Source organism: Homo sapiens, chromosome 12 (genome assembly GCF_000001405.40).
Source record: "Homo sapiens chromosome 12, GRCh38.p14 Primary Assembly".
Classification (NCBI taxonomy): Eukaryota; Metazoa; Chordata; class Mammalia; order Primates; family Hominidae; genus Homo; species Homo sapiens.
In genome coordinates, this window is record NC_000012.12 from 21735805 (window position 1) to 21749606 (window position 13802).

At 35.9% G+C, this 13802-nt stretch overlaps 2 long non-coding RNA genes across 2 annotated transcripts in view; one reads left to right on the forward strand and one right to left on the reverse strand.

Moving 5' to 3' along the window:
• KCNJ8-AS1 (KCNJ8 antisense RNA 1) overlaps nt 1-13802 on the forward strand; it is a 166949-nt gene that overhangs the window by 73492 nt on the left and 79655 nt on the right. The window lies entirely within an intron of this gene.
• The window catches only part of LOC102724261 (uncharacterized), a 32260-nt gene that overhangs the window by 10194 nt on the left and 8264 nt on the right, over nt 1-13802 (reverse strand). The window contains exon 2 of the long non-coding RNA XR_429056.4: nt 1893-1982. This is a non-coding gene — a long non-coding RNA (uncharacterized LOC102724261). The remainder of the gene's footprint in view (nt 1-1892; nt 1983-13802) is intronic.

Below are 13802 nucleotides of genomic sequence, written 5' to 3' on the forward strand. Positions count from 1 at the left end.
CTTAAGCCTCCATCTTTCCATGGATCTTGTCTCATAATTCTTTACTATTTTATTAGTTCTCTGACATTTTTAAGCAGAATTAAAAAATACTTTGCCAGACTTCCTATTGCCTTCAGCAGGAGGATAGTTCTGAGTTATTTAGTCTGCTATTACCTGGAAGAAGGAGACTTTAGTTATTTCTCTGCATATGTGTTTACCTGGGCTATTTAATAATAAAACCTGAAAAAAAATGTTTCTTAGTTTTAGATGCATACACAGGCTTATTTTCAAAAATGTTTTAATAGATTGGTTGTTAGAATTTGAAATGCATTTTTCTATAAAAACACCTATATACTGGCCGAGCACGGTGGCTCACGCCTGTAATCCCAGCACTTCGGGAGGCCAAGGTGGGCGGATCACGAGGTCAGGAGATTGAGACCATCCTGGCTAACACGGTGAAACCCCGTCTCTACTGAAAATACAAAAACAAACAAACAAACAGAACAAAAAAAACGAGCGTGGTGGCGGGCGCCTGTAGTCCCAACTACTTGGGAGGCTGAGGCAGGAGAATGGCGTGAACCCGGGAGGTGGAGTTTGCAGTGAGCCGAGATCACGCCACTGCACTCCAGCCTGGGCAAAAGAGCAAGAGTCCATCACACACACACAAAAAATAACAAAACCTATATACCAATTAGATTCCAAGGCAATTAGATTTAGAAATCTATTTTCTCCATGTCTTAGGTTTGGTTCCCTGGAAGAGAGTCTGATACCAGGGTATTTTTTGCAAGTTGTTTATTGAGGGAGTGCTGACATGGGAAAAAGCTGTGAAAAACTACCGACAGCAGGATAGGGCAGAGGGGAAGGCCAAACGAAAATAGGCTTCGGATAAAGTCTGGCTTCACCCATCACATGAGAAGCTCTAGAGCATAAAATAATACCACAGTATTATCCCAAATTGAGGCAAAGGGGTTGAGCTTTTGTAGCCCTGAATTATTGAGTCATCAACCGCAAGCTATGCTTATAACTTCTCAGGCTTCCTTCTCTTCCTTCGTCCCTTCCTTCCTTCGTCCCTTCCTTCCTTCGTCCCTTCCTTCCTTCGTCCCTTCCTTCCTCCCTCCCTCCCTCCCTCCCTCCCTCCCTCCCTACCTCCCTCCCTCCCTTCCTCCCTTCCTCTCTTCCTCCCTCCCTCTTTTCCTTCCTCCCTCCCTTCCTCCCTTCCTCAACGGAGTCTCGCTGTGTCGCCCAGGCTGGAGTGCAGTGGCTCAATCTCAGCTCACGGCAACCTCCCCCTCCTGGGTTCAAGCGATTCTCCTGCCTCAGCCTCCCAAGTATCCGGGATTACAGGTACCCACCACCATGCCCGGCTAATTTTTGTATTTTAGTAGAGACGGGGTTTCGCCATGTTGGCCATGCTGTTCAGGCATTTTTATACAAGGCAATTCCTGTCAGCTCACAACAGTACTAGGAGAAAAGTGGAGCTGTATCCTTTTTGCAGCCAGCTCACGGTAGGTTGGTGCCCCCTCATAGTAAAGGGGACCTAGGCAGGGCATCAACAGCAATCCCATAAGCCATCTAATGTATAAGGCAGTATTTTTAATACTATGGAATTTAATTTCTAAGAATGATAGTGTTTGTTTGAGAATATGCATTTAGATATTATACTTGGAATACTTTTCTGTCTCTACTGAGGTCTGAATAACTCTCCCAGACTTCCCAACTGCCAGACAGAGAAATAGGGATTTCTTCAGAAATAAGTCATGGTGGCAGCTCCAGTAGCCTGGCAGAGACAGTGTCTTAGATGGAGGTAATAGAAAGGTGAGACTCGTTAGGGAGCCAGAGAATAATGAGTTGTGGGCTGTTTGTAAGGAGTTGAGAGTCAGAACTATTCTTATAATTTCTCATTTTCTGATTACCTTCTGTTATCTCCCGGCCACCCCGAAGTTGTCTTTTCTGCTTTCCGTATTTCCACCTATGTCTTCCTCACAGAACGTCTTCCTGGTCTTCTATGGAAGAGAAGATTAATTACTTTCCTTCCTTTTCCTTAAGTAAAAATACAAATCTTTTGAAGATTTTCTCAGATGAACATTCTCCTTTTCCTTTAGTTCATGTGTTAGAAAAACAACGTAAAACTAAGCTGCAAAGAAAAAGTTACGTTTGTATGGTAAAATGTGCACAGATTTGGAGTTATACAGATCTGGCTTCATATCTATTTTGGTTCTATTAATTACTACTAGTATTCTGAATAATAATTAGAACTATTGTTAAAATGTGTAGATACTGAGAGAAAGGTCTGGAGAATCTACAAAGAGAAAAACGTATATGAAATATTTTTAAAATTCTACTGAGTATACTTTATGAAATTGTCTTTTTTTCACGGTGAAAAACAAAAAAATTTACTAGCTTACCATTCTTAAATATACAGTTTAGTAGCGTTAAGTATATTTACATTGTTGTGAAACAGATCTTCAGAACTTTTTTATCTTGTAAAACTGAAACTCTGTACCTATCAAACAACAACTACTCCTTTCCCCCTCCTCCCAACCCTAGTAACAATTATTCTACTGTTTCTATGAATTTGACTAGGGGTATCATATAGTATTTGTGTTTTTATGACTGGATTATTTCACTTAGCATAATTTTCTCAAGATTTATCAATGTTGTAGTGTGTGTATCAGAATTTCCTTTTAAGGTTGATTAATATTCCACTGTATGTATGTACCACATTTCATTTATCCATTTGTCATTTGATGAACATTTACATTTCTTCTGCCTCTCAGCTTTGTGGATAATGCTGTGTGAACATGGGTGTGCAAATATCTCTTCAGGACTCTGCTTTCAATTTTTTTAGATATATGGTTAGAAGTTGAATTGCTGGATAATATGGTAGCTCTACTTTTAATTTTTGAGGGACCTCCATATTGTTTTCCATAGCAGTTGGACTATTTTACAATCCCACCAACAGTGCACAAGGTTTCAATTTATCGACATTCTCACCAATGCATGTTGTTTTCTGTTGTTCTGATAGTAGCCACTCTAATGGGTATGAGTTAGTATCTCATTGTGATTTTGATTTGCATTTCCCTAGTGATTAGTGATGTTGGCCATCTTCTCAAATGCTTGTTGGCCATTTGTATATCATCTTTGGAGATAAATAGATATTTGAATGTCTATTCGAAATCTTTGCCAATTTTAAAAATTGGGTTATTTGATTTTGTTGTTGTGTTGTAAGAGTTTTTATGTATTCTGGATATCAACTCCTTATCAGATGTATGATTTGAAAATATTGTCTCCCATGCTGTAGGGTGCCCTTTCACTCTGTTGATTGTGTCCTTTGATGTACAAAAGGGTTAAAGTTTGATGTAGTCTCATTTGTTTATTTTTGCTTTTGTTGCCTGTTCTTTAGTTTTCATACCTGAGAGAAAACATTGCGAATTCCAATGTCATAAAGGTTTTTCCATGTAGTTTCTTCTAGGAGCTTTAGAGTTTGGGGGTCTTACATTTTGACTTTTTATTCATTTTGAGTTAATTTTTGTATATAGTAGAAGACACAGTGCACCATTCTTTTGCAAGCGAATATCTAGTTTTCCAGCACTATTTGTTGAATGGTGGTGTTTTTCCTCATTGAGTGGTTTTGACATCCTTGTTGAACATTGTTTGATGATACAAATGAGGGTTTATTTCTGGGTCATCTCTTCTATTCCACTGGTTTATATTTGTTGTTATGTTAATACCACACTTTGATTATTGTGGCTTTATATGTTTTGAAATTGGTAAGTGTGAGTTCTACAACTTTGTTCTTTTTCAAAATTGTTCTGATTATTTGCTGTCCTTTGAAACTTTAGTATGAATTTTCCTAATTCTAAAATAAATTTTAGTACAAATTTTTCTATTTCTGCAATAAAATGCCACTGGGATTTTATTAATAATAGGGATTCCATTGAACCTGTATATCACTTTTGGTAATATAGACATTTTAACAATATTGCCTTCCAATCCATGAACACAGAATATTGTTCAATTTATTTGTGTCCTCTTTAACTTTTTTCAGCAATGTTTTATTGTTTTCAGCAATGTTTTGTAGTTTTTGACATGTCTTTCTCCTCTTGGTTAGGCTTATTCCAAAGTGTTTTCTTCTTTTTGATGCCATTACAAATGGAATTGTTTTAATTTTGTTTTGGTTTGCTCATTGTTAATATACAGAAATACAACTCATTTTGTGTGTTGATTTTATACCCAGTAAATTTGCTCAATTCATTTATTAGTTTTAATAGTTTTTATTTTTGCAGAATGTTTAGGTTTTCTACATATAAGATTATGTCATCTGTGAATAGAAATAATTTTATTTCTTCCTTTCCAATTTGGATACCTTTTATTTTATTTTATTTTTTTGCCTGATTGATCTGACTAGGACTTTCAATATTCTATTAAATAGAAGTGACAAGTGCTGGGATCCTTACCCTGCTTTCAATCTTAAAGAAAAAGTTTTCAGTTTTCCACTATTGAATGTGATGTTAGCTGTGGATGTTTCATATAAGGCCTCTATTATGTTGAGGTAGTTTCCTTCTATTTCTAGTTTGTTGAATACTTTATTGAAAGGGTATTAAATGCTGTCACATACTTTTACTATATCAATGATCATGTGACTTTTGGTCTTCATTCTGTTAATGCAGTATATTAATTTGATTGATTTTTACATGTCAAAACATTCTTGCATTCCATGAATAAATTCCACTTGGTCATGGTGTAAAATTCTTTTAATGTGCTGTTGAATTCAGTTTTCTAGTATTTTGTTGAGGATTTTCTCATCAACATTAATCAGAGATATTGGTCTGTAGTTTTCTTGAGCTTTGTCTGGCCTTGGTATCAGAGTAATGCTGATCTTATAGAATGAATTTGAATGTGTTCACTTCTCTTTAATTTTTTAGAAGAGTTTCAACAGGATTTGTGTTGATTCTTGTAATATTTCATAGAATTTTCCAGTAAAACCATCTGGTCATATACTTTTCTTTGTTGGGAGGTTTTTGATTTTTGATTCGATCTCCTTTCTAATTATTGGTCTGTTTAGATATTCTGTTTCTTCATGATTCAGTCTTGATAAGTTGTGTGTTGCTAGGAATTCATCCATTTCTCCTAAGTTATACAATTTGTTGACATAAAATTGCTCATAATATTCTGTTATTATTCTTATTTTTGTGACATTGGTTGTAATGTACAGTCTTTTATTTTCAATTTATTTGAATCATCTCTTTTTTTCTTAGCTAATCTAGCTAAGGATTTGTCAATTCTCCTTATCTCTTCAAAAAAACCAATTCTTGGTTTAGTTGATTTCTTTCTGTTGTTTTTCTGTTTCTGATTTCATTTATCTCTGCTCTAAGTTTTGTTAGAACTTTGGGTTTAGTTTGTTCTTCTTTTTCTAGTTTCTTGAGTTAGGTTGTTGATTTAAGATCTTTCCTTTTTTTTAGTGTACAAATTTACATGTATAAATCTTCCTTTTAGCACTGCTTTCATTGCATCTCATAAGTTTTGGTTTGTTGTGTTTTCATTTCCATTTGTCCCAATATATTTTCTAATTTTCCTTGTGACTTCTTCTGTGACCTGTTTGTTATATAAGAATTTGTTGTTTAATTTACATTTATTTGTGCATTTTTTCATTTTGCTATTGATTTCTAATTTTATTCCATTGTGACTAGAAAAGATACTTTGTATAGCTTTAATCTTCTAGAATTTGTTAGACTTGTTTTATGGCCTAACTTGTTGTATCTTGAAAGATCTTCCATGTACACTTGAGAAAAATATATATTCTGCTATTGTTGGGTGAAGTGCTCTGTATATGTCTGATAGATCCAATTAGTCTATCGTAGTGTCTGAGTTCTTTATTTTCTTATTGATCTTCAGTCTGGTTATTCTATCTATTACTGAAAATGAAGAAATGAAAGTTTCCTACAACTACAGTGTTGATATTTGTTTCCTCAATTCTGTCAAAATTTTATTTACATATTTAGGAGTTTTGAGGCTTGGTGCATAAATATTTATAAATATTATATCTTCTTCATAAATTAAGCCTTTCATTAATATATAATGTCCCCTTTTACTTTTTGTAACATTTTTGACTTAAAGCTTATTTTGTCTGATATTAGTATAGCAACCTCTGCTTCCTTTTGGTTACTATTTGCATGCAGTATCTTTTTCCATCCTTTCAGTTTCAGCCTATGTGTATTTGTACATCTAAAAAGTGAATCTCTTTTAGAGAGCATGTAGTTGGATCATGTTTTTTTTTTTTTAATCCATTCAGCCAATCTATGTCTTCTGATTGGAGAGTTTAATTCATTTACATTTAAAGTAATTACTGATAAGGGAAGACTTGATATTGTCATTTTGTTTTCTGTATCTTATACCAAGCTTGTCCAACCTGCAGCTTGCAGGCTGAGTGTAGCCCAGGATGGGTTTGGATGTGGCCCAAGACAAATTCGTAATCTTTTTGAAAACATTATGAGGTTGTTTTTTGTGATTTTTTTTTTTAAAGCTCATTAGCTATTGTGTTAGTGTATTTTATGTGTGGTCCAAGACAATTTTTCTTCTTCCAGTGTAGCCCAAGGTAGCCAAAAAATTAGGTACCCCTATTTTATACCTTTTTGTCCTTCCTTTCGTCTCTTACTGGCTTCCTTTGTGTTTCATTAATTTTTTGTAGCAACAAGTTTTGACTCCTTTTTTATTTCCTTTCGTGTGTATTCTATAGGTATTTTTGTGGGTACTATTTCAATTACATACAACATCTGAAAGGTATGGCATTCTATTTTAAATTGAAACAAGTTACTTTCAATCACATCAAAAAACTGCTGCTTTACAGCTCCATCCCTGACTTTCTATCATTAATGTTACAAAATACATTTTTACATATTATACACCCATTAACATAGATTTACAATTATTTTTAATGTTTTTAAATTTCATGCACCAGAATTACTATAATACAGGTTACTGTATTAGTCCATGTATTTAGATTACTAGAGAGCCTTATATTTTTGTATGGCTTAATATTGCTATCTACTGTCCCTTTGTTTCAACTTGAAGGATTCCTTTTGGCATTTCTTACAGAGCATGTCTAGTGGTAATAAACTCCTTCAGCTTTTTTTTTAATCTGGAAAAGTCTTTATTTCTCCTTTATCTTTATATCTGAAGTATAGTTTTGCTGAAAACAATATTCTTCCTTAACAATTTTTTTTCTTTTAGCATATTGAATATATCATCACACTCCCTCAGACCTGCAAGGCTTCTGCTGAGAAATCCACTGATATTCTTATTAAAATTTCCTAGCTTGCAATAAGTCACTTTTCTTTTGCTTCTTTCAAAATTATTTATTTTTCTTTGATTTTAGACAGTTTGATTATGTTGTGTCTTGTGTCTTGGGATGGTTATCTTGGGTTTATCCTGGTTGTATTTCTTTGAGTTTCTTGAATTTGTCTGCCCATTTTCTGCTCAGATGTAGCAAGTTTTTCAACCATTATTTTTTCAAATAATCTATGTGCCCCTTTTTTTCTATTTTCTCCTTCTGACGTTCCCATAATGTATAGATTGGCCTGTACAGATCAAGCATATAGTGTTTCATACATCCCTTAGGGTTTCTTTACTTTCCTTCTTTCCTTTTTCCTCATTTGAATCAATTATTTCAAATGATCTACCTTCAAAGTCACGGATTCTGTCTTCTGCCTGATCAAGTCTTCTGTTGAATCCCTCTAGTGATTTTTTCTATCTAATTATTGTGTTTTTCTGCTCCAAAAATTTGTTTGGTATTTAAAAATCAATTTCTAACCCTTTGTTAATATTCTCATTTTGTTCATTTGTTATTTTTCTGATTTTACTTAGTTGTATATCTGGGTTCTTTTTCAGTTTTATAAACATCTTTATAATATTTATTTTAAATTATTTATTTCAGTGCATAGATACGTATTTCTTTAGGGTAGGTTTCTGGAGTTTAATTTTAGGCCTTTGTACCATGTTTTCCTGTTTCTTCATATGCATTGTAATCTTTTGTAAATTGTAAAGCAATTTTTTTGTAAATTATAAAAAAAAAAACAAATTTCTGGAGCTGAAAAATACAGTAACAGGACTGAAAAATTCACTAGAGGGGTTCCACAGAAGACGTCATTGTTGTAATTTTTTTGTTGAGATTTGGGCATTTGAAATACATGACCACCTTTCTGAGACTTTGCATGCTAGCCTTGTGCAGGGAATAATAAACTTCACTAATAAACTCAGAGGTCCTAGGACCTCTCAAAACTTTTCTTATCTCTTGCTCCTGCTGGCATCTGCTCAGAGAACTATAGCTCTAATATGCTGCAGTGTTATCGTCTGTTTTCAGTGGCTTCCATATTATGCCGCTGGTCCTGTCAGCACCTGGAGTTAGGAGAGACAGAAACTAGTCTTTTGTGTAGCCCCCAAACAAGCTAGAATGTAGATACACGGTCTATTCTTATGTTTCCAACGAAACCTTGTTGTTAACTCAGTGTCTCTGTCAGGGAAAGAGAGCGTAAAGATTCCTAGTCTGTCATTTTGTTGACATCACTCTATGAAACTGTATTCTATAAAGTAAATGACTACCTCAAATTTATGTGTTTTGTAAATCTCTATTGTTTTAAGTGATTTTTTCTTAAAATTGAATACACTACCATAAGATTCTCACTACTTCTTGCTCTTCACCTTTCTTGGAGAACCTATGCTTGTATTACTAGTAGTGTTTTAACACACTACCTTCCCAGTACATTTGTCTCTTCCCTTTACATATTACAAACTGTAAGTGAAGTTGCCAGCCAATGTCTTCTGTGTCAAGCTATTCATTCTACCTGTTTGGGAAAACATTATTTTCATTAAAGCTATAGCTGCAAAATATGTTTTTAACCAATTTCTTAAATGCCAACATATTTCTTATTGGGCTTTTCGAATCCAAGAATTGAATTTTATGATCCAAGCATTGTGAATGAACAAGTCACCTGTGTTTTACTATTACTTTATAAGCAGATTCAATCATGGCCTAAACAAGAGATTCCTGGTTCTTAGATTCTTGCCAAAACTTATTTTGTATCTCAGCTATTAGTTGGTGAATTGCAGGGCACTAAATGGTTTCCACAGACCCTGATAAAAATTTGAGTACCTCTCTAAGGAAGCTATTTTCTAGTATGCTGCTTTTATTAATACCTTACCACTAATAAACACTGAGTGCTGTGAGTATAGAACATGAGATAGGACAATTTTCATTTTTGAAAATCTGAACTGCCAAGAAAACACCACCTCCCTCTTGGCCTGCTCCAATATAGTTGGGGAGGTGCTACAGTTTTTGTGTGGGTAAGCAACTTTTCGTTTTTGGTTATGAGAAGACGGGACTTGCACTTATTCCTTCCCCCATTGAATTGTCATTTCAGTCAGAATGCCTCAAGTAAACTTTCCAAGAGAGTGGAACACTAGCAGATTATTTTTCCATTCAGATTTGGGGTTTTTGTTTGTTTCATTCTTTTTTTAGAGATTGTGTCTGAGATAGCTGAAAAATTATTCGGGAGATTAGTCTATGAATCTGAGCATTGAGTTTATGTTGCCTCTCATTCCTCGTTTCGCTTTTGCAACTTCTGCCCTATAACTAACAATAGCAGAAGCAGCAGTGCTGGTCTGATGTATCTGACAGATTCTGTTTTGCACAGATTACCGTTTCTAGCCTCGGCTGCTTCACCTGGCACAAAAATAGAATCATCTTGAGATCTTCACTAAGGAGCCTATTCTTATACTGTTTCCAGACAAGCTGTTGCTATCTTAATGTATCTTCAGTAAGCCTCCTGGTCAAAGCAATTTTTACATGACGTCAAATGGAAGACAAGACTGTATTTGCAGAAACTAGCAGTGGAAGTCTGGCTCCTAGAAATTGACTATTTATAATGTGTCAACTGGATGGCCTACCAGGTGTGCCCCAGCCTAATTTTGTCTGTATTGTTTTATTACTCACTTTTGTCTCTTTTTATTTTCTTACCTTATCTTTCTTTTTCTCTCCTCTGCTCTCCAGACACAAAGATTTCCAGGGATAGTAAGATCATGGTTTACAGCCATGTTCAAATAACCCTCCTTCTAAGCTTTTTCAAGGGCTAAAACCAGCTGCACCAAAATTGTCCCTGTGGTATCTTCCTCCCAGTCACAAAGCTCTTCTTCTGCAGTTTTCTTTCTTTAGCTAAGAAAAACAATCATCATTGTGGGGGTCTCCATATTTCCTGAATTTGAATGTTGGCCTGCCTTGCTGGGTTGGGGAAGTTCTCCTGGGTAGTATCTTGAAGAGTGTTTTCCCACTTGGTTCCATTCTCCGCGTCACTTTCAGGTACACCAATCAAACGTAGATGTGGTCTTTTCACATAGTCTCATATTTCTTGGAGGCTGTGTTCGTTTCTTTTTACTCTTTTTTCTCTAAACTTGTCTTCTCATTTTATTTCATAAATTTGATCTTGAATCACTGATATCGTTTCTTCCACTTGATCGAATCACCTATTGAAGGTTGCACAATGCATCACGAAGTTCTCATGCCATAGTTTTCAGCTCCATCAAGGCATTTAAGGGCTTCTCTACACTGTTTATTCTAGTTAGCCATTCACCTAACCTTTTTTCAAGGTTTTTAACTTCCTTGCGATTGGTTAGAACATGCTCCTTTAGCTCGGAGAAGTTTGTTATTACTGACCTTCTGAAGCCTACTTCTGTCAACTCGTCAAAGTCATTCTCCATCCAGCTTTGTTCTGTTGCTGGCAAGGAGCTATGATCCTTTGGAGGAGAAGAGGCACTCTGGTTTTTAGAATTTTCAGCTTTTCAGAGAACACCACAAAGATACTCCTTGAGAAGAGCAACCCCAAGACACATAATTGTCAGATTCACCAAGGTTGAAGTGAAGGAAAAAATGTTAAGGGCAGCCAGAGAGAAAGGTCGGGTTACCCACAAAGGGAAGCCCATCAGACTAACAGTGGATCTCTTGGCAGAAACCCTACAAGCCAGAAGAGAGTGGGGGCCGATATTCAACATTCTTAAAGAAAAGAATTTTCAACCCAGAATTTCATATCCAGCCAAACTAAGCTTCATAAGTAAATGAGAAATAAAAGCCTTTACAGACAAGCAAATGCTGAGAGATTTTGTCACCACCAGGCCTGCCTTACAAGAGCTCCTGAAGGAAGCACTAAACATGGAAAGGAACAACCAGCTAACATCATAATGACAGGATTAAATTCACACATAACAATGTTTACCTTAAATGTAAATGGGCTAAATGTCCCCCATTAAAAGACACAGACTGGCAAATTGGATAAAGAGTCAAGATCCATCAGTGTGCTGTATTCAGGAGGCCCATCTCACATGCAGAGACACACATAGGCTCAAAATAAAGGGATGGAGGAATATCCCAAGCAAATGGAAAGCAAAAAAAAAGCAGGGTTTGCAATCTTAGTCTCTGATAAAACAGACTTTAAACCAACACAGATCAAAAGAGACAAAGAAGGCCATTACATAATGTTAAAGGGACCAATTCAACAAGAAGAGCTAACTATCCTAAATATATATGCACCCAATACAGGAGCACCCAGATTCATAAAGCAAGTCGTTAGAGGCCTCCAGAGAGACTTAGACTCCCACACAATAATAATGGGAGACTGTAACACTCCACTGTCAATATTGGACAGATCAACAGAAGGTTAACAAGTATATCCAGGACTTGAACTCAGCTCTGCAACAAGTAGACGTAATAGATATCTACAGAATTCTCCACCCCAGATCAATAGAATGTAAATTTTTCTCAGCACCACATCGCACTTATTCTAAAATTGACCACATAATTGGAAGTAAAGCACTCCTCAGCAAATGTAAAAGAACAGAAATCACAACAAACTGTCTCTCAGACCACAGTGCAATCAAATTGGAACTCAGGATTAGGAAACTCACTAAGAATGGCACAACTACATGGAAACTGAACAACCTGCTCCTGAATGACTACTGGATAAATAAGGAAACGAAGGCAGAAGTAAAGATGTTCTTTGAAACCAATGAGAACAAAGTCACAATGTAACAGAATCTCTGGGACACATTTAAAGCAGTGTGTAGAGGGAAATTTGTAGCACTAAATGCCCACAAGAGAAAGCAGGAAAAATCTAAAATCGACACCCTAACATCACAATTAAAAGAACTAGAGAAGCAAGAGCAAACAAATTCAAAAGGTAGCAGAAGTCAAGAAATAACTGAGATCAGAGCAAACCTGAAGGAGACAGAGACACAAAAAACCCTTCAAAAAATCAATGAATCCAGGAGCTGGTTTTTTGAAGAGATGAACAAAATTGATAGACCACCAGCAAGACTAATAAAGAAGAAAAGAGAGAAGAATCAAATCGATGCAATAAAAAATGATAAAGGGGATATCACTACAGAAATACAAACTACCATCAGATAGTACTATAAACACCTCTATGCAAATAAACTAGAAAATCTAGAAGAAATGGATAAGTTCCTAGACACACATACGCCCTCCCAAGACTAAACCAGGAAGAAGCTGAATCTCTGATAGACCAATAACAGGCTCTGAAATTGAGCAATAATTAATAGCCTACCAACCAAAAAAAGTTCAGGACAGAACGGATTCACAGCTGAATTCTACCAGAAGTACAGAGAGGAGCTGGTACCATTCCTTCTGAAACTATTCTAATCAACAGAAAAAGAGGGAATCCTCCCTAACTCCTTTTATGAGGCCAGCATCATCCTGATACCAAAGCCTGTCAGAGACACAACAACAACAAAAAAGAGAATTTTAGACCAATATCCCTGATGAACATCAATGCAAAAATACTCAATAAAATACTGGCAAACCGAATCCAGCAGCACATCAAAAAGTTTGCTCATCATGATCAAGTTGGCTTCATCCCTGGGATGCAAGGCTGGTTCAACATACGCAAATCAATAAACGTAATCCATCACATAAACAGAACCAATGACAAAAACCACATGATTATCTCAATAGGTGCAGAAAATGCCTTTGACAAAATTCAACAGCCTTTCATGCTAAAAACTCTCAATAAACTAGGTTTTGATGGAACGTATCTCAAAATAATAAAGAGCTACTTATGACAAACCCACAGCCAATATCATACTGAATGGGCAAAAACTGGAATCATTCCCTTTGAAAACCGGCACAAGACAAGGATGCCCTCTCTCACCACTCCTATTCAACAGAGTGTTGGAAGTTCTGGCCAGGGCAATCAGGCAAGAGAAAGAAATTAAGGGTTTTCAATGAGGAAAAGAGGAAGTCAAATTGTCCCTGTTTGCAGATGACATAATTGTATATTTAGAAAACCCCACAGTCTCAGCCCAAAATCTCCTTAAGCTGATAAGCAACTTCAGCAAAGTCTCAGGATACAAAATCATTGTGCAAAAATCACAAGCATTCCTATACACCAATAATAGACAACAGAGAACCAAATCATGAGTGTACTCCCATTCACAATGGTTACAAAGAGAATAAAGTACCTAGGAATCCAACATACAAGGGATGTGAAGGACCTCTTCAAGGAGAACTACAAACCACTGCTCAATGAAATAAAAGAGGACACAAACAAATGGAAGAACATTCCATGCTCATGGGTAGGAAGAATCAATATCATGAAAATGGCCATACTGCCCAAGGTAATTTATAGATTCAATGCCATCCCCATCAAGCTACCAATGACTTTCTTCACAGAATTGGAAAAAACTAAAGTTCATATGGAACCAAAAAAGGGCCTGCATTGCCAAGACAATCCTAAGCAAAAAGAACAACGCTGGAGGCATCA